At 40.6% G+C, this 25,759-nt stretch overlaps 1 protein-coding gene across 57 annotated transcripts in view; it reads left to right on the forward strand.

Annotated features, from left to right (window-relative positions):
- The window catches only part of EPB41 (erythrocyte membrane protein band 4.1), a 232,942-nt gene that overhangs the window by 186,229 nt on the left and 20,954 nt on the right, over window positions 1-25,759 (forward strand). For 31 of the 57 annotated variants that reach the window (NM_203342.3, NM_001166005.2, NM_203343.3 and 28 more), the window contains one exon: window positions 24,479-24,607. The exons of 10 other annotated variants lie outside the window; for them this stretch is intronic. In NM_203342.3, the coding sequence (NP_976217.1) occupies window positions 24,479-24,607 (129 nt within the window). Of the gene's footprint in view, window positions 1-22,826; window positions 23,277-24,478; window positions 24,608-25,759 lie in introns of all 57 variants that reach the window. 16 more of the 57 variants (XM_005245753.2, XM_047448937.1, XM_047448961.1 and 13 more) reach the window with 1 other exon arrangement.

Genomic DNA, 25,759 nt, shown 5'->3' on the forward strand with positions numbered 1-25,759 from the left:
CTCTGAGAGGTTCACTTAACTACTTGGTGCCCAGATTTCCACCTAGTAATGTGGAGACAAACCTACTTCATGAGAATGAATACGTAATAAATTCCAGGAACCAGAGACCCTGGTTGTCGTTCAATTCTTGGTCTTTTGGGAGCTGGGAAGATGAAAATTTAAAAACACAAAAACATACATTAACTTCTTTTTATTTTGAAAGTAAGTCGTTAAATAGCTGTTTATTTCCATCTACTCCTTATTGATATTTGACCACTTTACTAATTTTCCAAATTTATCCTTCTCTTAATAAATTCATCTTATCCAAATGGTATGATTAGAGTGGATCATACTTGAAAATAAACCAAGCATCTATATTTTGGGCCTCTCTTTCAGCCAGTTTCTTTCATGCTAACACTTGCAATATGAAGGGAATTGTTTGCATGGGTCAAGTTTTCTACTTATTTACATCTTCAGTAAGAGTTTTGAAGGGAAAAGATGCTGACTCTGTTGATTAAGATTAGACTGGATATTATACATGGAATAGATTTCCAGTTGGCATCCTAGGACCTGGTACATTTCTTTCTATTAAATATTATAAATTTTACTCTGAAACTTCTTTGGATATAATAACCCAATTCACTTTCTCCTAGTTTCCTAAGTCACTTCTGTAATACTTCTTATAGATAAGCCTGTAGTACTTCCTATAGATAAGCCTATAGGACACATGAGGCATTAGAGATCTAATTAATTTTAAGAAGGTATTATGGAGCAGAAATTACACTTGTGCTTTACCCAGTGATCATGTATTTACAAAAGGAAAACAGGGCAAAATTAATATGAGACATGGTCTCATTGTTGCTTTTATTTTTTCGGCAAGGGTTTTGAATACAGTAAAGACATACAAAATTTGTTGACAGAGTTGCCTTCCCTTATATTCCTCTTCACAGGAATTATAAAATCCCAAACTATAGCATTCTCTGCAGCTTTGAAAAAGACTATTATATTGTTTTTATTATACATAGAAACTTCACTTTTTTTTCATATACTCAAATTACACCGTTTGTAATATTGGTACTAGAAACTACAACAACTTCTTATTAATCTGTTTTGTGTGGCATGTAGCATTACCATATCTGCTTCCTCTACACTTTAGTGGATAGTATTAATAGGCCACTCTCATTTCTGAAGCTGTTACTCCTCATGCCTTAGTATCTCCTTTTACTGTAGCAGAATATGACACAAAAAGAAACACATTGGTGCAGATCTATGAAAGCATACCTGAAATGGTTAAGAAGGTATGGGATTAGAGTTAGGAAGCCATACAAAGTTAGGCTAGAGGAAGAGCAGTGGCTATGATCAACAATTATAAATTCATGGAGGATTCCTTTTGGTAAACAAAACTCCTATCATCCTAGAACTTGAAAGACAAAAGGAAGATAAAGTAGTTTGTTCCCACATATCAGAAATGCAGGCTAAAAGCCAAATAACTTGAATAATAGCCTAACTAAATGTATAGATAACATTGTGGAGAAAACACACTTTAGGAATTTTAAAAATCTTTTGTGTGTCCAGGCGCGGTGGCTCACGCCTATAATCCCAGCACTTTGGGAGGCTGAGGCGGGCGGATCACAAGGTCAGGAGATCGAGACCATCCTGGCTAACATGGTGAAACTCCGTCTCTACTAAAAATACAAAAATTAGCTGGGCGTGGTGATGGGCATCTGTAGTCCCAGCTACTCAGGAGGCTGAGGCAGGAGAATGACATGAACCTGGGAGGCGGAGCTTGCAGTGAGCCGAGATCACGCCACTGCACTCCAGCCTGGGCGACAGAGTGAGACTCCGTCTCAAAAAAAAAAAAAAAAAAATCTTTTGTGATTGAAATCCTAGGCCAGGTGTGGTGGCTCATGCCTGTAATCCCAGCACTCGGAAGGCCGAGGTGGGCAGATCTCCTGAGGTCAGGAGTTCAAGACCAGCCTGGCTAACATGGTGAAACCCTATCTCTACTAAAAATACAAAAATTAGTTGAGTGTGGTATCAGGCATCTGTAATCCCAGCTCCTCAGGAGGCTGAGGCAGGAGAATCGCTTGAACCCAGGAGGTGGAGGTTGCAGTGAGCTGAGATCGCGCCACTGTACTCCAGCCTGGGCAACAGAGCAAGACTCTGTCTCAAAAAAAAAGAAAAATCCTAGAAGGCAGCAGTGTCTTACCCTTTAACATAGAATCCTGTTTTGGGTAAATGATAGAATAACTCTGACATTTGAAAGATTGAAAGGTAGGGGAAGGCATAGAGTCTCAACTATCTTTTCTTGTCTCAAAATCAACAAAGGCAGGTGAGCCTCTCATTTTCTTATCTACTACCTCTTCAAAGAAAAGTCTTCATATTTATAAGATCCTATCTCAATAAAACACATAGAAAAATATTTAAGGGGATAACATGGCCACCATTCATTTTATTTATTTATTTAATTTGTCACCCACCAGCAAAGTACTCTATTATATATTACAAGGATGCAAAGAGTCAGCATTATCAGAATTTTAGGGATTGGATAGGATCCTAATTCAATTCCTCTCTCTTCCAGTGCTTGACTCTTCTCTGCAATATCATTTAGAGATTTGGAGGCCAGTGTTGCAGTCTTTGTTTCAATATCTCCTGAGATAACATATTACATCTTTGGACAGCTCTGAGTTTGTATATAAATCATTCATATATTAAGTGAAAATCTGTTTCCCTGTAGCTTTCACTCACTGATCCTGAACAGAGGCATTTTAAAGAATTTTCTATCTTTTTCCACATTACTTCTTCACATACTTAAAGGTAACTCTCATGTTGAAACTAGTCACTATTCTTACCCTCAGACAAGTTACCATCTGCTATTCAGATCTATTCCAGTCTTCCTCCTAGCATGTCATCCTCCTTTCTTCTTTTCTAACTTCCCTTGTTTTAACAGCTTTTTCTTTCTGGCTGTGTTGCCCACTGTGGATTATTCCGCTTTATGTCCCTATAAATTGACATTCTCTCTCCAAAAAATTTTGAAATTTCTGGCTGTCCCAGCTTCTTCATAGATAACTTAGGCTTTGGAATTTTTTTAGATAAAAGAGTAGAGGTGGGATAGTTTTCTAGCTTTGAGAGTTTCATGTAGCCCAGAATCTGTTGATAAGATAGTATCAGTGTTATATTTTGAGGAAGCACACTACCAAAGCCTGCATTCTAAGTTTGCTTTCCTTCTGTGACAGTCTGAGTAACCTTTACATACTGGAGTTGTCCCCAAGTGATTCAGTTTATACCAGTGTGATGATAAAATTATGGAAATGTACTTTCTGCTTAACATTCTGATTATGATTTATACCCCACCAGAAAAAGTGATAATAAATATTTGAAGTGTTGTTAATACATCTCTTTTGTGCCTTTCTCCTCAAAACTATGAGATTCTCAGAGGTAAGAGGCTCTTTAGGCCAAGCACGGTGGCTCATGCCTGTAGTCCCACTTACTGAAGAGGTTGAGGCAGGGGATTGCTTGAGCCCGGGAGCTCAAGGCTGCAGTGAGCCATGATCACACAACTTCTCTCCAGCCTGGGCGACACAGCATGACACTGTCTCTAAAAAAATTTTAAATAAAAATAGGCCTTGATTTTGCCAATCTATAACCTTTGTATCCCATTTACCACATTGCCTTGAATATAACAAATAATATTTGTTTCACTGAATTAAATGATTAATCACAGGTGGCGATGGATAAATAACTTTTCACATAGAATCTCTTGTACTGGCACATAAATTTGTGCCAAATTAATCACCTTATGCCCAATCATTATATGCAGGTAATCCAGAAAGCCTGTATCCAGCCCAGAAGCCACTGTCTCTCTTGTTAATCCTGTAGTATGGTCCCTTGTTTATTCAAGGAATCTAGTATACCCTTATGGTAGGTGTCAGTTTCTATTGTTAATGTCTTGTAACTTGGTTCAATTAAAAGCTCTTATCCAGCTGGCCTTGGTGGCACAAGCCTGTACTCCCAGCTACTCGGGAGGCTGAGGCAGGAGGATCACTTGAGCCTGGGAATTCCAGTCCAGCCTGGGCAACATAGCAAGACCCCATCTCAAAAAAAAAAGCTCTTATGTATTTACCACAGGTAATAATGAGCTATTCTCACTCTAGAACATATTACTAAGAATAGGGTACACATCTGTATAAATAAAGTCATCTCGGATAAGTGTGATATCATAAAGGGAACATTTATGTTTATCTAAAATACATTGCAGAGAGCAATTTGACACTTTTTCTTGTGTTTTACGTGATATAGAAACATCAACTATATCAAACTCTTATGGGTTTTGATATATTTGGAGTATCAGGAGTAGGCAAACTTTTTCTGTAAAGTGCCAAATAATAAATATTTTAGGCTTTGCAGGCTATATGGTCTGTCACAACCACTCAGCTTTGCCATTGTAGAGTGAAAGTAGTATAGATAACACATAAAATGAATGTGATTATGCTCCAATCAAACTTTATTTATGGACACTGAAATTTAAATTTTGTATAATTTTACATATTACTAAATATTATTCTATTAGTTTCCTAACCATTTTAAAATGTAAATACCATTCTTAGCTCATAGCAATAGAAAAATAAGGAGAGGGTGGCTGGGTGCAGTGGTTCACGCCTGTAATCCCAGCACTTTGGGAGGCCAAGATGGGCAGATCATTTAAGGTCAGGAGTTTGAGACCAGTTTAGCCAACATGGTGAAACCCTGTCTCTACTAAAATACAAAAATTAGCCAGGTATGGTGGCGCACGCCTATAATCTCAGCTATTCGGGAGACTGAGAACCGCCTGAACCTGGGAGGCAGACATTGCAGTGAGCCAAAATTGCACCACTGCACTCCAGCCTGGGTGAAAGAGCAAGATTCCGTCTCAAAAAAAAGAAAAAGAGGGGGTGAGATTTGGCCTGCTGCTTATAGTTTGAGGACCCCTGGTACAGACCAGAAAAGTGGTTTATTATGTTTGCTGCCTTTGTACTGTTTTGGAGAATTGTAGTTGGGATCTTAGCATCTTCACTCAATGTCAAAGTATTTTTTGTCTTTATTTATGATTAGAAATGGAAAACAAAAGATGAGACATTCATTTCTATTAAGCAGTCAGGGTACACCTGAACTGTAATCAAAAATACATACTGCTGGGCGTGATGGTTCATGCCTGTAATCCCAGCGCTTTGGGAGGCTGAGGCAGGAGGATCACTTGAGGCCAGAAGGATCACTTGGGTCCAGGAGCTCAAGACCCATCTCTACCAAAAAAAAATTAGCTGGGCATGATGGCATGCCTGTAGTCCCAGCTACACGGGAGCCTGAGGTAAGAGGATCATTTGAACCCAGGAGTTTGAGGTTGCACTGAGCTATAATCATGCCACTGTACTCCATCCTAAGCAAGAGCAAGACCCCGTCTCTACAAAAAATAAATAATAAAATATGTACTGTAACCACCACAGCACCCCGTTTCTGCCAGTTTTCCAAATTGCATTGTGTTAACTGTGGTCTTATATTCAGTGATGATCCTAGATATCCCCTTCATTTGGTTTGTTTTAAGGATCTGCCTCCATTTCCCCCTAAAGAATAAAGAAACCACAATTCCCAAATTCACCTTTTCTTTAGCCAAGTTTTAGAGATATATAATGAACATGGTAAAGAAAGTAAAATGATTTTTTTTTTTTTTGGACACAAAATTTCGCTCTTGTTGCCCAGGCTGGAGTGCAATGGTGCGATCTCGGCTCACGGCAACCTCCGCCTCCCGGGTTAAAGTGATTCTCCTGCCTCAGCCTCCAGAGTAGCTGGTATTACAGGCGCCTGCCACCACGCTCAGCTAATTTTTTGTATTTTTAGTAGAGATGGGGTTTTATTGTGTTGGCCAGGCTGGTCTTGAACTCCTGATCTCAGGTGATCTGCCCGCCTCAGTCTCCCAAAGTGCTGGGATTACAGGCATGAGCCCCCTCGCCCCGCCAGAAAAATGATTTTTACTTTGAGCTTTTGGTATACTTTAGTGTTTTAAGCGCTGGTATAAATTTAAGATTGGGTATCTACAGAAAACGTCTTAGAAGTGTCCCTCTTTCTAATTATTACCTTTTTTTTTTTTTCTTTTTTTGAGGTGGAGTCTTCCTGTCACCCAGGCTGGAGTGCAGTGACACGATCTCGGCAACCTCCACTTCCCAGGTTTAAGTGATTCTCCTGCCTCAGCTTCCCAAGTAGCTGGGATTGCAGGCACGTACCACCATGCCTGGCTAATTTTTGTATTTTTGGTGGAGATGGAGTTTCACCATGTTGGCCAGGCTGGTCTCAAACTTCTGACCTTAGTTGATCCACCTTCCTCAGCCTCTCACCGCACCCAGCGAGAAATCTGTTTTGAAAGTAATAATTAGTGGCTGGGTGCAGTGGCTCACACCTGTAATCCCAACACTTTGGGAGGCTGAGGTGGGAGGATCACCTGAGGTCAGGAGTTCAAGACCAGCCTGTTCAACATGGGAAAAACTCCATCTCTACTAAAAATACAAAAAATTAGCCAGGCATGATTGCGCGGGCCTGTAGTTCCAGCTACTCGGGAGGCTGAGGCAGGAGAATTGCTCCGCCTGGGTGGCGGAGGTTGCAGTGAGCTGAGATTGTGCCATTGCACTCCAGCCTGGGCGACAAGAGCAAAACTCTTATCTCAAAAAAAAGAAAAAAATATATATTTCTCTGAGGAGAATTCCCCAATTCACAGCTTTTTTGGGCAGTATTTACCAATAAGTCAGAATAAGATAAAGCAACATTATTTATTTATTTATTTATTTATTTATTTATTTATTTTGAGACGGACCTTCGTTCTGTAGCCCAGGCCAAAGTGCAGTGGCGCAATCTTGGCTCATTACAACCTCTCCCTCCCGGGTTCAAGCGATTCTCCTGCCTCAGTCTCCCGAGTAGCTGGGATTACAGACGCGAACCACCGCACCCGGCTAATTTTTGCATTTTTAGTATTTTGGCCAAGCTGGTCTTGAACTCTGGACCTCAAATGATCCGCCCACCTTGGCCTCCCAAAGTGCTGGAATTACAGGCGTGAGTCACTGTGCCTGGCCCCTTTTTTTCTTTTTTTTTTTTTTTGAGACAGGGTCTCACTCTGTCTCCCAGGCTGGAGTGCAGTGATGCAATCACATCTCACTGAAGTCTCGACCTTCTGGCCTCAAATAGTCCTCCCACCTCAGCCTCCCAAGTTGCTGGGACCACAGGTGTGTGTCACACCTTGCTAAAAGACAGGGTTTTACCATGTTGCCCAGGCAGGTCTCAAACTCCTGAGCTCAGGCCATCCACCCTCCCCAGCCTCCCAAAGTGCTGGGATTACAGGTGTGAGCCACTGAGCCTGGTTTTGCGGAAGTACTTTCTAATAAATCCCTATGCACATGTTTCTTTCATTTCCCTTGGCCAGGCTCCTTTTGCTCTAATACTTAGCTGAGTAAATTAATTATTCATTAACAATTCAGCATGATATTTAAGCCTAAGAAATCTTTAGTCCCTTTGGGACATTTTCTTTGATATTTTTCTCACATTATTTGCTCTGTTAATGTGTAAACTTATGAATAAATCTTATTTATTGCAAATGTGATTCTGGTTGCTACTAATCATTAAGGAAGTAGGAGTTAATAATGCTGTTCATAGACCTACTACCAAAAAAATCCAAATGAACCTCTGTTTTCAGCCGATCAGCAAGAGATTGCTGTCAGCTAGTCTTTCTCTTGTTTTTCCTTATATTCACTCTTCTCTGTGGCCCAATAATTAGTTGTCTTTTGCTTAGTCGTAAGACAGAGACAACCTACTGGTGTGCATTCAGTTCTCAGAATGTTATTTTAAATCAGCTTTGAACTAATTTGACTATGCCAAGTTTTAAAAATAATTTTTTTCTAACCAATTTAATTAGTCACTACAACAGATGTAGTTGTCACATCTGTTAGAAACATTTTAGTATGATGAATTTGTCTTTTATGGGCTTTTTAAAAGCACTGTACAAATTTGTAGTTAATAACTCTTCAGTATTGCCACTCTAATCTTACTGAAAAGTGAAGAATGGTGTGGGTGTGGGTATGTGGGTGTGAGGAGAGCTTGTTCCTGTAATGTGAAATCGACAGAAGGTATATCACTTTATCTCTTACTTCACCTTGGGTAAACCTTCTCTTAACTCTCACAGCTCTAGATTTTATTATATTATTCAGGTGATTATTTCAAACTAATGCTTCGGCTGGGCACTGTGGCTCACGCCTGTAATCCCAGTACTTTGGGAGGCCGAACTGGGTGGATCGCCTGAGGTCGGGAGTTTGAGACCAGTCTGACCAACATCGAGAAACCCTGTCTCTACTAAAAATACAAAATTAGCCAGGTGTGGTGGCACATGCCGGTAATCCCAGCTACTCGGGAGGCTCAGGCAGGAGAATTGCTTGAACCTGGAAGGCGGAGGTTGCAGTAAGCTGAGATCACACCATTGCACTCCAGCCTGGGCAACAAGAGCGAAACTCTGTCTCAAAAAAAAAAAAAAAAACCTAACACTTCACATTTTAGAGTGGTCTATTTACTAGCTCAAAGTATGTACCTTGTGATCTAAGTAAAATAACTTTGTAGTATTTCTCCAAAGCCATGTTTCTTTTATGAGTTTGTTGAAAATGCTAACACAGAAAGCCATTTTCACTATTATACGATTTCTCAAGAAGATAAAACATAGCTAGTTAATATTCAATAATAATTTTCTATAATAATAGCTGTCTGTTGCATTGGTTCTGTAGAATCAAGGTAACTATTTCTTGGGTTTTTTGTTTGTTTTGTTTCGTTTTTGAGACGGAGTCTCACTCTGTCACCCCGGCTGGAGTGCAGTGGTGTGATCTCGGCTCACTGCAACCTCCGCCTCCCGAGTTCAAGCTGTTCTTGTGCCTCAGCCTCCTGAGTAGCTGGGATTACAGACACCCGCCACCACGCCTGGCTAATTTTGTATTTTTAGTAGAGATGGGGTTTCACCAGGTTGGTCAGGCTGGTCTCGAACTCCTGACCTGAAGTGATCTGCCCACCTCAGCCTCCCAAAGTGCTGGGATTACAGGCGTGAGCCACTGGGCCTAACCTCAAGGTAACTGTTTTCTAGATATCAAATTTTCTTAAATGCTTATTATGACTTTAATCAATTTTTAGAACTGAGACTTCTGTGAAATCCAGCCAAACAAATTCAATTTTGTTCCATTCTAACTTCAGAGTTTTTGTACTGGTCATAGCTCCTTTTTCTCCACCTTCATCCCTCCACCCCTACCCTTCATAGTGTAATGAAATAAAACTGACCACCAAACGCTTCTGGTCTGTTAGACATGCTTAGTATAACCTTTAATATTTGCCCAAGCACTTTGACCTCTGTAGATCTATTCAGATTTGAGAACACTCATTTGATCTGTGGAGTCCTTGCTGGTGAGTGCAGTGTAAAGGCAAAATTTTCTATTACCTAATAGTTAAAATTTTGCATCCGGCATGGATTTTGAAGCTGTTTGCTTTTACGTTCACCTATTCTGGGGATAATCTAATAACAGCACTATTTAGGAAATTATAAAAACAATGTTTGACAGATAATTATCATTGGCTAATTTCATTTGCTGTCCTTTGTGAGAGGCTGCATTGTGGAATTATTTTCCTATCATAAGCAATTTTATCAACTCTAGTAAAGGCCCACATCTTCCGGAATAAGCCCCTTTATCCAGATTTTATACAAATGTAATCTTTATATACCAGAGAATAGCAATAGACTGTGAAAATGACTCTGAGTTTCATGGAGAAGCTAGTGAGCACTATAAGGATATATTTCTAGCTAGAAACTAATAGCATACAACCTTGAAAAAAAAAAGGCGAGAGAGGGTACATCCAAGAGAGAAAAATTAGAATGAAGAGAAATGTATTGCATGATAAAGAATGTCACACTAGAAAGGAAAGACAGAATTTTAACATCACCTTTTGCTAGCCCATGGTTACTCTGTTGTTAGTTTATCCCCATCTTGAGTGCTTGTGATTCTAATGTCCTTTTTCAAACTTCTAAGTGGCCTGAGTTGTCCACTGAAACTGTACAAAACTATTATTTACAAGCTTTTGGGGGTGGGAACCAGAGGATGTTTCTCCTTTCGGTAATTTTTGTTCTTCTGTCTTCATTTGTTTCCTTTTTTGGCTGAAGAATGGGCTCCTACTGCTTGACTTGTCATCTTTATGTGCTGTTTACACATGGCTTTTGCAAAAGAAGCCATTACCACATCTGATTTATCTTTTATTGCAAGTGCCCATTTAAAAGCATTTGTTTTAACTTAAAAAAAATTGTTTTAATCATCAGGCTAATGTGCCTACTGATTATTATACAACCTAGGGAAATGCTGATATAATTTTTCAAAATAGGAAATTACAAATATTAATATTAATGTATAAAGACATATGTTTTGCTCTTAAGAGGTTTTCCCCTAGGCACTTAAAGCCATTCTTTGCTGAGACTTAATCTTGTCATGTTTTGTTAAAGAGAAGAATATAGAAGCAAAGCACTCGCAATTAACTGATCTTATCAGGATTAAATTCTACATTTTTTAGTTTGCATGTTGTAGACCATCTGGGGGTATTACTTAAATACATTGTTGATAATTTAAGTGACTATGATATTTATTGTTTACTTTAGTTAAGAACCAGGAGCTGGACTCTTCTGCTGGGTATCTTCTTCTGTGCTTAGCAAGATAACCTCGATTCCTGCTGGTTCTGTGGTCATTTGCACTGCAAAGCATTTCTTACTGGGTTTGCAAAGCAAGGGTAATGTGCTCTGTGGGTGTATGTGTGTCTGTGCACCCTCATCCCCTATTCCCACTGCCATCTCTGTTCACTTCCTTTTACTTATCAAAACTTCTTTTTCTCAATCTATGTCAATCTTATTAAAAAGTTTAATGAATCACTTTTCCCAGACGTATAGAAACACTAATAAAAGTTTTATGTGTTAAATTTTCCTCACATATTTGCATTTCAGCAAGCCACAAAGTCATTGCACAGATGATGGTGACTGATTACAGCATTGGTTATATCATTAAGCAGTACTTACAAGGCCAGCCTTAAATCTCATTTTACTTGACAGAATGCAAAATAAAATGAAGATAATGTGGAAAACAATGGTATAGCTTAACGGATGTAGTGGATTGGGGATTACAATTGTGTAAAGTGACTGCAGAGGTATATGCTAAATCTCAGACTCTCATTTTGAGGAAAATTTAGTAATTTCAAGGAGCAAATGTGTGGGTAATAGCAATATAGAAAGATAAGCTTTGAGGCTAGAAACAGTAATAAATCTCTGACATTTTAAAATAGTTGTAAATTGTGTGACTAATCAGAAATATTCTATTTTCTTTCTTAACAGACAGTATGTATCCCAAAACTATCCATTATAAATGGTATTCTTCCTGAGGATCTTGGTTCGGGAATATTTATGAAATAGCCTCATAGTATACCCATTTTAATTCTCCTGTCACAATTTCTTTCTTCAAAGTTGTGATGTTCTCTAAAATATAATGAGGACCTGTTTGAGAACTTGCTAACAAAAGCTGAAAGGAAGCCCAATTTTAGTTAAATCCATAGGCTTGGCCCACTTCAGGAGTTCAAGAAACACCATGTAGGGACTTCCTGTCTTTATTGCTTTGGTTCACGTTACTTTGCAAAAAGTAATATTTTAAGAAATATAAATCATTCTGGATATGAATTGTGATGTGATAGAATCAATCTATAGTGTATATCACTAACCTAAAGTTATTGTTTAGATCAGTTTTGGAAATACTTTGATCTTCTTTTTTTTTTTTTTTTTTTTGAGTTGGAGTCTCACTCAGTTGCCAGGCTGGAGTGCAGTGGCATGACCTTGGCTCACTGCAACCTCTGCCTCCTGGGTTCAAGTGATTCTCATGCCTCAGCCTCCTGAGTAACTGGGATTACAGGCACCCGCCACCATGCCCGGCTAATTTTTTTGTATTTTTAGTGGAGATGGGGTTTCACCATGTTGGCCAGGCTGGTTTCGAACTCCTGATCTCAAATGATCCGCCTGCCTCAGCCTCCCAAATTGCTAGGATTACAGGCGTGAGCCACCACACCTGGCCAAAAACCACATTTTAAATCACTTTCCTGATAATATCGCTTCTACCTCTAAATCAGAAAACATTAAAATACAATGAAGCTACAACTTAAATTTGAAGTATTTCTTTTCCACCAGTTATACAGATATATTAAATTCATCATCATTGACTTTGACTTTCTTTTCTTTTCTTTTTTACCCCAAGTTTACAACCTCCACCTGCCAGGCTCAAGTGATCCTCCCACCTCAGCCTCCTTAGTGGCTGGGAATATAGGCATACACCACCACACCTGGCTAATTTTTTGTATTTTTGGTAGAGATGGGGTCTTGCCATATTGCCCAGGCTGGTCTCGAACTTCTGGACTCAAGCAATCTGCCCGCCTCGTCCTCCCAAAGTGCTGGGATTAAAGGCGTGAACCACCTCACCCAGCTGACTTTGACTTTCAAAACCAACTAACTAAATTACCAAGGTTTAATATTATATTCCCCTTATAAAAGAGAACTTTTATATTACATACCAGTTACTAGCTTATAATTCTTTCCTCTAACTACTTTTTTCTTTTAGAAGCCTATTAAGGCTTATTTTTTACTGTTTTTAAAAGGCTTGGAAGATGTTAAGGATTTTTTAGCACTTTCTGCATAAATTGTTTACTAGACTCTTCAGGTTTTAAAGATCATTTCACTACTGAAACCAGATACAAGTGCTTGCATAAGAAAATAATCACTTTTTATTACCAAAGTAATACATACTTGTTTTAGAAAGGTTAGGAAATAGAGAAAAACCACAAACAAAAAGATCGTTTGCAATCCCTTGATTATTAATATTTTAGTACACCTTAAAATCTTTTGTCTTTCCTTTTTTTTTTTTTTTTTGAGACAGAGTCTTGCTGTGTCACCAGGCTAGAGTGCAGTGGTGCCATCTCGGCTCACTGCAACCTCCGTCTCCCAGGTTTAAGCGATTCTCCTGCCTCATCCTCCGGAGTAGCTAGGACTACAGGCACATGCCACCACACCCAGCTAATTTTTGTATTTTTAGTAGAGACGGGGTTTCACCATGTTGGCCAGGATGGTCTCGATCTCTTGACCTCATGATCCACCCGCCTCAGCCTCCCAAAGTGCTGGGATTACAGGCATGAGCCACCGCGCCCGGCCACCTTAAGATCCTTTTCATGTGTATATTTATACACATTGGAAAATATAATTTTTAAATGGCTAAGAAATGAAGCATAACTGATCAAGAGGAGGATTTAGTCTTTGAATTATATAGAAAGATAAAATGAGACAATAGCAGTGTGTTTTCTTCCTTTTAATAGAGAAAGGAGTTGTTTTTCTATTGCCACTAAAAGGTAAAATTGGTCTTCACTAAGTGGGGAACAAGTGACTAAATGTGTGGGGATAAAATTACTACACAGGTACTCATACATGGCTCTTATGTAGCAAAATTTTAGAAAAATTTTCAGGATATATTTTCACTTTGATCTCTTAAAGGATAAGACACTCTTGTAAGCTTAACTGTGGTTCTTTTTTTTTTTTTTTTTTTTTTGAGACAGAGTCTTGCTCTGTCGCCCAGGCTGGGGTGCAGTGGCACAATCTTGGCTCACTGCAAGCTCCGCCTCCTGGGTTCACGCCATTCTCCTGCCTCAGCCTGAGTAGCTGGAACTACAGGCGCCCGCCACCATGCCCGGCTAATTTTTTGGAGTTTTAGTAGAGACAGGGTTTTACCATGTTAGCCAGGATGGTCTCCATCTCCTGACCTTGTGATCCGCCCGCCTTGGCCTCCCAAAGTGCTGGGATTACAGGTGTGAGCCACCGTGCCCAGCCAACTGTGGTTCTTTTGATAGTCTCTTCAAATATGTAAATCCTTACTTCAAAAATAACCTGAAAAGAAATAGACTCTGGATTGCATTTGTTGGAGTGGCAGCAAAATACCTATAAAACACCCATATCCTGCTTTTTTTTTGAGATGGAGTTTTGCTCTTGTTGCCCAGGCTGGAGTGCAATGGCACAATCTCAGCTCACTGCAACCTCCACGTCCTTGGTTCAAGCAATTCTCCTGCCTCAGCCTCCCGAGTAGCAGGGATTACAGGCATGCGCCACCACACCTGGCTAATTTTGTATTTATATTAGAGACGGGGTTTCTCCATGTTGGTCAGGCTGGTCTCGAACTCCCAACCTCCGATGATCACCCGCCTTGGCCTCCCAAAGTGCTGGGATTGTAGGCGTGAGCCACTGCGCCCGGCCCATATCCTGCTTTTAATAATATCTGGAATTCATAGGTCAAAAAAGGGGTAATTTATAACTCATAAAGGCATATATATAATCAGGGTCTGATGATTCTGAGACATAATCCCTTTGCATAAATAGTTTTTGAGAGAAAGCCTTTAGGAAAAAAAATCTTGTTTTCTTCCCCAAAACAAAGAAAATACTGAATTATCATACTTAGCAGGAGCCATTGACTTTTTAAATGAAATTGAGAATCTTCAAATAATGTTTCTGTTCAGTTAAATATTTGTCTAATATTCTTTTTTTCATATTATTAAAACCAACTAGATATCATTGCAGTACTTTATATATATAGGCAGCCAATCTTTCTATCATAGCATCTTTTTTCCTTTTTCTTTTTTTCTTTTTTTCTTTTTTTTTTGAGATGGAGCCTCCCTCCTGTCGCACAAGCTGGAGTGCAGTGGCACGATTTCAGCTCACTGCAACCTCCACCTCCTGGGTTCAAGCGATTCTCCTTCCTCAGCCTCTTGAGTAGCTGGGATTACAGGCGTGCGCTACCACGCCTGGCTAATTTTTGTATTTTTAGTAGAGACGGGGTTTCGCCATGTTGGCTAGGCTGGTCCTAAGCTCCTGACCTCAGGTGACCCACCCGCCTCGGCCTCCCAAAGTGCTAGGATTACAGGTGTGAGCCCCTGCACCCGGCCAGCATCTTTTTTCTTACAGATTCCCCATCAGTTCAGGTAAGCGACATCTAGATTAACACCTTTGAATCACATTAAGTCTCAGCTTTGCCTTTTTGTCACTGAGGATGGTTCAGACACAGCCATATATTCATCTTCTACTTGAGAAGATCCCTTTAAAGTTTTCAGGCTAATTTGGTATGTGCAGTTGCAGTCTTATATAATCCAATGGCCCTTGATGATGGTCACAGCCAAAGGCAACAACACTGTCAGAATTCTTTACTGATATTAAATGCCAAATTCTGGGTGTCTTGTGTCATGGAGACTTTATATTTTCTTCTGGCCAGTCTTGTCTTCTGGCTTCTCAGCCTTCTTATATGTAAAAATCTAGTGTCAGCCACTCAGAACAGACTCTGTTAAGAGGAGTTTGGGCGCTGTTTGTATGTCTCAAAGTTAAAGTCGGGTTTGCTGTGTGTTATTTTGAGCATAATAGGACATGTCCTGAAGCTGGGCACACTGGCATGTGCCTGTAGTCCTAGCTAATCGGGAGCCTCAGATGGGAAGATCCCTTGGGCCCAGGGATTTGAATCCTGCCTGAGCATCATAGTGAGAGCCTATGTCTAAAAAATAAATATATACATAAGTAAAATAAATAGGACATGTGCTTTGGTCCTACTTGAAATACCTTCTGGTGTCATGGGAAGAAGATGGGCTTTAGAACCAGAGATAGATCTGAGTCTAAACACTAGCTGCTCATCTGTTCATCTATAAAATAGAAATAATGACTACTTCATAATTATACTGTAAATAATTAAATGAAAAAACATGCTCAAGTGATTAGCACAGCACCTGGCACATGGTAAACATACAAAAATATTAGTTTTCTCTTATTTTACTGATGGAGGAGATAAAATGCTGGACTAGACTATGAGTCTGGTCAAATGAGCCACTGTTTATTTCTTCCTAAACATGCTTTTCTAAACATTTTAGTTACAGAATAGCACAGGACAAAGAAGAAGTTCTCAAGTGACCTGGATTTACCTAACATACCTTCAACACGTTTTTACTGAGCATCTATTACATACCAAAAACTGTACAAGAAAGATAGAGAGCTAAGTAAGACAGTAACAAGTTCTCATCCCCCAAGGATTTCATAGGCTAATGGAAAAGACAGATGAATATGCCAGTGATGACAGGGTACAATGGGAACCAAAGAGGACTGGTATCTAAACATACTTCAGGCAGCCAAGGAAAATCTAGAAGAAATGACAGTTGAGCTAAGTGTGGACTTCCAGGCAGAAGGAATAAGATTTACAAAGGCACAGAGATAATAGAAAGATGCTCTGTCCTAGGGAATACAAATAGTTTTGGAGTAATGGGGAGAAGGATATATGTGGAGTTGTAGCTGGATGAAGCTGGAGAGAGAGGTAAGGGTCAGATTTTAAAGTATTTTCTGTCTTACTAAAACCCAGTGAAGGGTTTTAAACTAGAAAACTGAATTTTCAGTGTTTAATTTTAGAAATAAGCACTTTAGCAGCATAATAGAGGACACGTTCAAGGAAGGTTTGAGATGAGAAAGAAGGAAGGAAGAAAGGAAAGAAGAAAAACCGTTGAGGGCATTTGTGGTAATCTGGATGAGGCGTTCTAAGAGCTTTAACAGGCTGGGCACAGTGGTTCACACCTGTAATCTCAACACTTTGGGAGGCTATGGTGGGCAGATCACTTGAGGTAAGGAGTTCAAGACCAGCCTGGCCAACATGGTGAAACCCTGTCTCAACTAAAAATACAAAAATTAGCTGGGCATGGTGGCACGCATCTGTAACCCCAGCTACTTGGAGGTTGAGGCAAGAGAATCACTTGAACCCAGAAGGTGGAGGTTTCAGTGAATCAAGATTGCACCACTCTACTCCAGCCTGGGCGAAGAGCTTGAACAAAGGTAGTAAATGTGGGAATTGATGAGGGAAACATTAAAGCAAATAGATAAAGTAGATATTAAAATGGAATAAAAATGCCTTGATGACATAATCTCTGGGGGTTAGCGGATAAATGTAAGGAAGAAGTTGAAGATGATTCTCAGAATTCTGGCATGGATGATTGGATGGATGGATGGAGATGCCTTCTACTAATATGATAGAAGTGACGGAGGGGCCGGATGTGGTGGCTCACTCCTGTAATCCCAGCACTTTGGGAGGCTGAGGCAGGTGGATCACCTGAGGTCAGAAGGTCAAGACCAGCCTGACCAACATGGAGAAACCCTGTCTCTACTAAAAATACAAAATTAGCCGGGCGCGATGGCAAATGCCTGTAATCCCAGCTACTCGGGAGGCTGAGGCAAGAGAATCGCTTGAACCTGGGAGGCAGAGGTTGCAGTGAGCTGACATCGCGCCATTGCACTCCAACCTGGTCAACAAGAGCGAAACCCTGTCTCAAAAAGAAAAGAAATGATAGAGGAAGTTGGGGTGGGAAGCCCAGAGAGCAGCAGAGATGAGTTTAGTTTGCAACATGTTGCATTCTACACCCCTGGGAGGATGCTCAACAAATAATTGTCTGTGTTGTCCTGGAGATCTGGATAACAGTGTCAACTTGAGAAGTTGATTTGACCATATGTGAGTGTGCTATAAATGGTAATCCAACCCAACTGTTATGTTTTTCTTTTATTTCTGAAGACTAGTACATGTTAGGTGCTCAGTAAATATTTGTTGAGTTGAAATTACTGTGGCTAGGGCTTTTATCATTGTTGTCTTCTACACATGCTTTGGAAAAAAAGAGATTGTTCTGTCTAATTTAACTCAGCAGTAGGCAAGTTTGGGTCAGGTGGTGCTGGCCTAAGTAATGTTTAGTTCACAAATAGCTTCTTGATGACAGACTACTACTTATCACTTGAACAAACTGGCACAAAATTGGCTCTTACTTGATTATCTTAGGTATTTGTCTGATTATTAATCAGCCTTCTCAGTTGTGACAAATTATTTGAAGAAGCCCAAAGTTCCTCTCCATGTGAATGGGTTTAGATAGCTATTCACAATGCTAGGACTAGCATGTAGCAATTTCAGAAAGCCTATTTGTTTAATACCAGCTGATCTATTTTTGGACAGCTCTATAGCCACTTGCCTGACTCAAAAGAAACAGTGAGATAAGTGCCCTGGAAAGTAGCATAGCATCTTAACAATATGACAAATTCATTCTAGTGTCCCCCAGACCCTAGGACATTATAGGTGCTCTGCTCATTGGTTGGTTGAATTAAATAAGTATAGTACTTTAGAATTTACAATATGGTTTCATATACAGTATATTATTGTATTTTATCTTCAGAACCCTATAAGTCAAACCAAGTATTATTTTCATGTTAAATATGAGGAAATTCATACATTCTTGTCAAGAATAATTGCTGTATCTCAGATACATTTGCAGACAGAGACAGCCTTGTTGTCAGTCTTTCAGTTCCATCTTTCATATCCTAAGTCATATTTGTTATCAGCCAATGAAAGATCTACCTAATATGAATTCAACTAGTGCCAGTTTGAGACGCTTTTGAGTTGCATGTTTCAAAATGGCTTGGGAGTGAAGCTGGCCTGAAGTTCCTGTGTTCAGTGTGTCTTTCCTTGCCTTTATGGAGCCCTGGTTAATATTCATCACAATGGAGGCTGGTTTACAAGTTAAGGAGCAGCAGTGATTTTCCTAATATAATACCTATAACATTGATTTGAGTACTACAGTGTGTAAGCTGGTTCAAACTGTATTGTTTACTCATAGGAACACCTTCTTACCTTCTTTTTTTTTTTTTTTTTTTTTGAGACGGAGTTTCGTTCATGTTGCCCAGGCTGGAGTGCAATGGCATGATCTTGGCTCACCACAACCTCTGCCTCCCAGGTTCAAGCAGTTCTCCTGCCTCAGCCTCCCGAGTAGCTGGGATTACAGGCATGCGCCACCACGCCTGGCTAATTTTGTATTTTTAGTAGAGATGGGGTTTCTCCATGTTGGACAGACTCGAACTCCCAACCTCAGGTGATCCGCCCACCTCAGTCTCCCAAAGTGCTGGGATTACAGGCGTGAGCCACCGTGCCTGGCCAGGAACACCTTCTTCCTTTCTTTATTGTTTCTCTGTGGTTTGTAATATGGTCAAAGGCTCTTACCAAGATTTCATGCCTAAGTGGCTTATATACAGCTCTCTGGTGAGCACATGCAGATGTCACTTGCCATAACATTTGGCTTTCGTTAGGTTATTTCTTTTTCTTCTTTTAACTTTTATTTTAGGTACACGCGCAGGTTTGTTATGTAGGTAAATTCGTGTCATGGGGGTTTGTTTTACAGATTATTTTGTCACCCAAGTACTAAGCCTGGTACCCAATGGTTATTTTTTCTGATCCTCTCCTTCCTCCCACCCTCCACCCTCAAGTAGGCCCTGGTGTCTGTTGTTCCCCTCCTTGTATCCATGTGTTCTCATCAGTTAGGTCCCACTTATAAGTGAGAACATGCAGTATTTGCTTTTATTGTTCCTGTGTTCGTTTGCTAAGGATAATGGCCTCCAGCTCCATCTGTGTTCCTGCAAAGGACATGAGCTCGTTCTTTTTTATGGCTGCATAGTATTCCATGGTATATATATACCACATTTTCTTTATCTAATTTGCGATTGATGGGCATTTAGGTTGATTTCATATATTTGTCATTGTGAATAGTGCTACAATAAACATACACATGCATGTGTCTTAATGGTAGAACGATTTATATTCCTTTGGGTATATACCCGTAATAGGATTGCTGGGTCAAATGGTAGTTCTGTTTTTAGCTCCTTGAGGAATCACCACACTGCTTTCCACAGTGGTTGAACTAATTTACATTCCCACCAACAGTGTGTAAGCATTCCCTTTTCTCTGCAACCTCACCAGCATCTGTTATTTTTTGACTTTTTAGTAACAGCCATTCTGACTGGTGGGAGATGGTATCTCACTGTGGTTTTGATTTGCATTTCTCTAATGATCAGTGATACTGAGCCTTTTTTCTTATGCTTGTTGGCCACATGCATGTCTTCTTTTGAAAAGTGTTCATGTCCTTTTGCCCATTTTTTAATGGAGTTGTTTCTTTCTTGTAAATTTGTTTAAGTTTCTTATAGATGCTGGATATTAGACCTTTGTCAGATGCATAATTTGCAAATATTTTCCCCAATTCTGTAGGTTGTTTACTCTATTGATAGTTTCTTTCACTGTGCAGAAGCTCTTAAGTTTAATTAGATCCCATTTGTCAATTTTTGCTTTTGTTGTGAATTGCTTTTGGCATCTTCATCATAAAATCTTTGCCAGTTCTTAGCTGGGCACTGTGGCTCATGCCTGTAATCCCAGCACTTTGGGAGGCCGAGGTGGGTGGATCACAAGGTCAGGAGATCGAGACCAGCCTGACCAACATGGTGAAACTCCGTCTCTACTAAAAACACAAAAATTAGCCGTGCGTGGTGGCACACACCTGTAGTCTCAGCTACTCTGGAGGCTGACGCAGGAGAATCGCTTGAACTTAGGAGGCGGAGGTTGCAGTGAGCCAAGATCACACCACTACACTCCAACCTGGGCGAGAAAGCGAGACTCTGTCTCCAAATATATATGTATATTTGCCAGTTCCTATGTCCGGAATGCTATTGCCTAGGTTGTCTTCCAGGGTTTTTATTAGTTTTGGGTTTTACATTTAAGTCTTTAATCTATCTTGAGTTGACTTTTGTATATGGTATAAGGAAGGGATCCAGTTTCAATATTGTGTATATGGCTAGTCAGTTATCCCAGCACCATTTATTGAATAGAGAATTCTTCCTTTCCTCATTGCTTGTTTTTGTCAGCTTTGTCGAGGTTCAGATAGTTGTAGGTGTGTGGCCTTATTTCTAGGTTCTCTATTCTGTTTCATATGTCCATTTTCATACCAGTACACCATGCTGGTGTTTGTTTTTTGTTGTTGTTGTTTTCTTATTTTTTTTCTTTTTTTTCTTTTTTGAGGCCGAGTCTCATTCTATCACCCAGGCTGGAGTGCAGTGGCTTGATCTCAGCTCACTGCAACCTCCACTTTCCGAGTTTAAGCAATTCTCCTGCTTCAGCCTCCCAAGTAGCTGGGACTACAGGCACATGCCACCATGCCCAGCTAATTTTTGTATTTTTGTAGAGGCAAGGTTTTGCCACGTTGGCCAGGGTGGTCTCAAACTCCTGACCTCAGGTGATCTGTGCCTGCCTCAGCCTCCCAGAGTGCTGGGATTACAGACATGAACCACCATGCCCAGCCTACCATGCTGTTTTGGTTACTGTAGCGTTGTAGCGATCTTTCACCTTCCTGGTTAGCTGGCATTCCTAGGTGTTTTATTCTTTTTGTGGCAAGGTTATTTATTTTTCAAATGACTAATTCATTTCCTACTAGTGTGAATTCCTTCTTCTTCCACCTAGAGCACCTTTCTTTTAACTTTAGGAATAGGTCCATCTACTGGGATGGTATCTTCTCTTCCACATTCTCTTCCATGTGCAGTGGTCCCTCATCCTCTGTGGGGCCTTGGTTCCAAGACCTCCCCTGGATACCAAAATCCACAAATGCTCAAGTCTTGGATTTAAAATGACATGGTATTTACATATAACCTATGCATATTCTCCTGAATACTTTAAATCATCTCTAGATTACTCATAATACCTAATAAAATATAAATGCTATGTAAATAGTTGTTATACTATATTCTTTAGGGAACAATGACAAGAAAAAAGTCTGTACATGTTCAGCATAGATGCAATTTTTTTTCCAGATACTTTTGATCCATGGTTGGTTGAATCCATGGATGCAGAACCCACAGATACAGAGTGGTGACTCTACTTGCTTTAGAACTGTTTTTCCTGTGGAGTGAGGTATTTGGCCCAGGAGGGAACTCTTGTGTTTCCGGAATTTATTTCTCTTGGAGGTTGGAGGTGTTGTGTCATTCATCTGTGAAGAAATACATCTCAGCTGCTGGGTCATTTTAATTGTTTACAAAGAAACATTTCACCATTTTTGATATCATGTTTGATGCCATGACAGTGATTGAAGTAAGCCTGTGCTAGATGTACTCAACTTCTGTCTCCCTGACAACTAGTCTAGATTTTAGCTTCTCCATGCAGGGCTAGTGTGAGGATACATACAGTTTGGAAATATGAAACATTTTTCAACCTGATTAGGTTCCTCAAGAATATGTTTTACCTGTAATCCCAGCACTGTGGGAGGCCGTGGTGGGAGGATTATGAGAGGCCAGGAGTTTGAGATCAACCTGGACTACATAGTGAGACCCTGTTTCTCCAAAACATGTAAAACTTAGCCAGGTTTTGGTGGAGCATACCTGTAGTTCTAGCTACTCTGGAGGCTGAGGCAGGAGGATCCCTTAAACCCAGGAATTCAAGGCTGCAGTGAGCTATGGTCAGGCCACTGCACTCCAGCCTGGGTGACAGAGTGAGACCCTGTCTCAAAAAAAAAAAAAGAATATATTTTGATTGATGCACAAATTGCATTGTGTCCTGTGCATAGTAATAACTTAGGCATTTAGGAATGACAAAGTAACTCCTTTAAGTAACACAAGGAAGACCATAGGAATATAAATTGCTGGATAATTGTTTTTCAGATTAACAATGATATAGAAATAGGACCAAACTTAGGTTGGAACTGCTTAAGCTGCTGATAATGTGTAGTGAACAGCAGCTCTTCCTTTTGACCATGTTATCAGCTAAGATTCTTAGTTTATATTAGTAGCAATATTTTTGAGGCTTCCAAAAATCATTGTTGATTCTCAGAGTTCATTCTCCCACTTATACCTAATCTTCTTGCTTTTGTATCTGTTCATTCATTTGTAGAGTATAAATGGCATTCGCACAGAGGAGGTGGCTGTCGTGACAAAGGGGCCATCTACTAACCCTGACTCTGAATGGGAGGGTCCCAAGCATTCGGTAGTTCCTAGTAAAAGCCAGATGACCACCTCGTCGGAGTCTCTGCAAAGCTTTGCCTTTGGCTCCCTCTCCATAAGCAGCAAGGAGACAGAAGAGAAGGAGGAGGGGGCAGCTGGCTATCTTGATATTAAGGAGATGCCAAGAGGCCCAACTGGGGGATGTATAGGAGTGGAGGAACAGGCCAGTGCCTTAAAGTTCTCAGTAACACCAGCTTCCTGTCAGCTGCAACCTGGTGTAAAAAAGGCAGAGAGTAGTGAAGAACATGTTACACCAGGAGAGCCACCTGGAAAACAAAATGGATCATTTCTTGACTTTCATGTGGGTAACCAGTTCCCCACCCTCATTCGAAGTTTCCAGGTAGTAATTTATTCAATGATGCAGGTCTAATGACTGTCTTTGGAAGAGGGCCAGAATCTGTCCTGTGGAGGAGGTGGTGGTGGTATGGTGAGGGTAGTGGCCTCCCTGCTGTTTTCAAAATCACAGACTAAAAGCCTTTGATTGTGCCAAAGAAATTCATTCAGAGCAATTAACTGCATGGCTAGAAATGCTTTCTTCTCTGATAACTTAACAAAACTCCAGCTGTCAGTATGAAGCTGGTTAAGTGTGTTCATCTTTTCCTTGCTCAAGTGTGGGCTATGGAAAGAGGTGAATTGCGGTGACTTCTGTGGTGAGGAGGCTTCAGTGTTCTGAGACCATGCTTAAAAAATTCAAATACTCTTAATTAAAGGGGCAACTCATCTTCTTATGAGATTTCAGGCCCCAAATAATTTATGTACTGCAGCCACATTGTGCAGCCCACCACTCCCACTGACCCCACCCACAAGAGCATTCAGGATCATAGGCACTGATTTCCTATGCTAAGGTGGTTGGCCACTTAACCTTATTACAATCAAATGGTAGTTTCAGTGTGATTTATACTCCTGGGGAAGGTGAGCAGATGGACAAGAAGGCCTTTGGTATTCCACTAATGTTCATTCTTCTGAAATTCTGGGATTAATCACCAGGTGGTGGTAGAACTGATTGTTTTTTTCTTTCCAGTTTTCCAAATACTGTCTCTTCTCAATAACTCCAAAGTGAATCTCTGACATTGATTTGAAAGAAGTTAATGAATTCGAGGGTAATGCATTCCATTGCCACTGCTGTTTCATGTACCATTCGTACTTAGTGGAGGAAATGTGGCTGATTTTCTTAATTATAATGGTACAGACACAAGGACAAATCAAAGTGATTGCTATTTGGCAAATCGTTTTATATTCAAATTCTGAAGGTCAGTCTGAAGTGTTTTATATCACCAATCATAACTGTCTGCTCTTACAGCTTTCCATTAAGCTTATGAAAGTGATTACAGTAATGCTGCTTTTTAATATCCCTCATGATTTGACACCTTGTCAGGGTTACTTTGGAATACTGTCGAAGTCTTAGGCAGGGTAAACACCTTTGTAGATTGAGCTAGCTCTGTACTTAATTAAAGCTAACACTTTGATCAGATCAGTGTCAGAAGATTACTTCTCCATTGCCTTCAGAAATACTCTAGTAACTCTTTCCTTACTGCTTCACAGCCTCCCCTGGTGAAGACACAAACTGTCACCATCTCAGATAATGCCAATGCTGTGAAAAGTGAAATCCCAACCAAAGACGTCCCTATTGTCCACACTGAGACCAAGACCATCACTTATGAGGCTGCCCAGGTAGGACATGTTTTGATGCTTCAGAACCAAAGGCTGCAAACAAAATTAATAACCTTTCTTCACAGAGTTTCTAGTCATTTATCGCCAAGAATACCAGGTTTTTCTGGGGCAGTTCTTTTTAGAAGAGATTACTGGTCTAAGAAGGTCCCAGACTACTTTATCTAAAGCAAAAAATTGAGCAGAGCACACTGGTGTATGCCTGTAGTCCCAGCTACTCAGGAGGCTGATGTGGGAGGATCTCTTGAGCCCAGGAAACGCCATCTGAATATTTTTTTTTGAGACAGAGTCTCGCTCTGTCGCCCAGGCTGGAGTGCAGTGGCGCAATCTCGGCTCACTGCAAGCTCTGCCTCCCGGGTTCACGCCATTCTCCTGCCTCAGCCTCCCGAGTAGCTGGGACTACAGGTGCCCGCCACCACGCCTGGCTAATTTTTTTGTATTTTCAGTAGAGACGGGGTTTCACCGTGTTAGCCAGGATGGTCTTGATCCGCTGACCTCGTGATCCGCCTGTCTTGGCCTCCCAAAGTGCTGAGATTATAGGCGTGAGCCACCACGCCTGGCCTAAATTTTTTTTAAAGCAAAATTGTCTTAGATCTGATTGCTTATATCCACCCAATTCATTTGCATAAGGCAGTCTGGTGTAATGGTTGAGAACATGGGCTTTGGGTCTGAAAAAACCTGAGTTCAAGTCCTGGCTCCTCCACTTACTGACTTGGACAAGTAATTGAATATCTCTGAGCCTTGATCTCCTCTGCCCATGACGTTAATATCTACTTCATGGTGTTATGAGGATTTAAGTGTTTTTTGTTTGTTTGTTTGTTTTTTGAGACGGAGTCTCAGTCACTCTGTCGCCCAGGCTGGAGTGCAGTGGCGTGATGATCTCAGCTCACTGCAACCTCTGCCTTCTGGGTTCAAGTGATTCTCCTGCCTCAGCCTCTACAGTCATGTGCACATGGCTAATTTTTGTATTTTTCGTAGAGTTGGGGCTCACCATGTTGGCCAGGCTAGTCTCGAACTCCTGACCTCAAGTGATCTGCCTGCCGCGGCCTCCCAAAGTGCTGGGATTATAGTTCTTTTTAGGAGAGATTACTGGTGGCCGGGTGCAGTGGCTCACGCCTGTAATACCAGCACTTTGGGAGGCCGAGGCGGGCAGAT

This window comes from Homo sapiens, chromosome 1, assembly GCF_000001405.40.
Source record: "Homo sapiens chromosome 1, GRCh38.p14 Primary Assembly".
NCBI classification, from domain to species: Eukaryota; Metazoa; Chordata; class Mammalia; order Primates; family Hominidae; genus Homo; species Homo sapiens.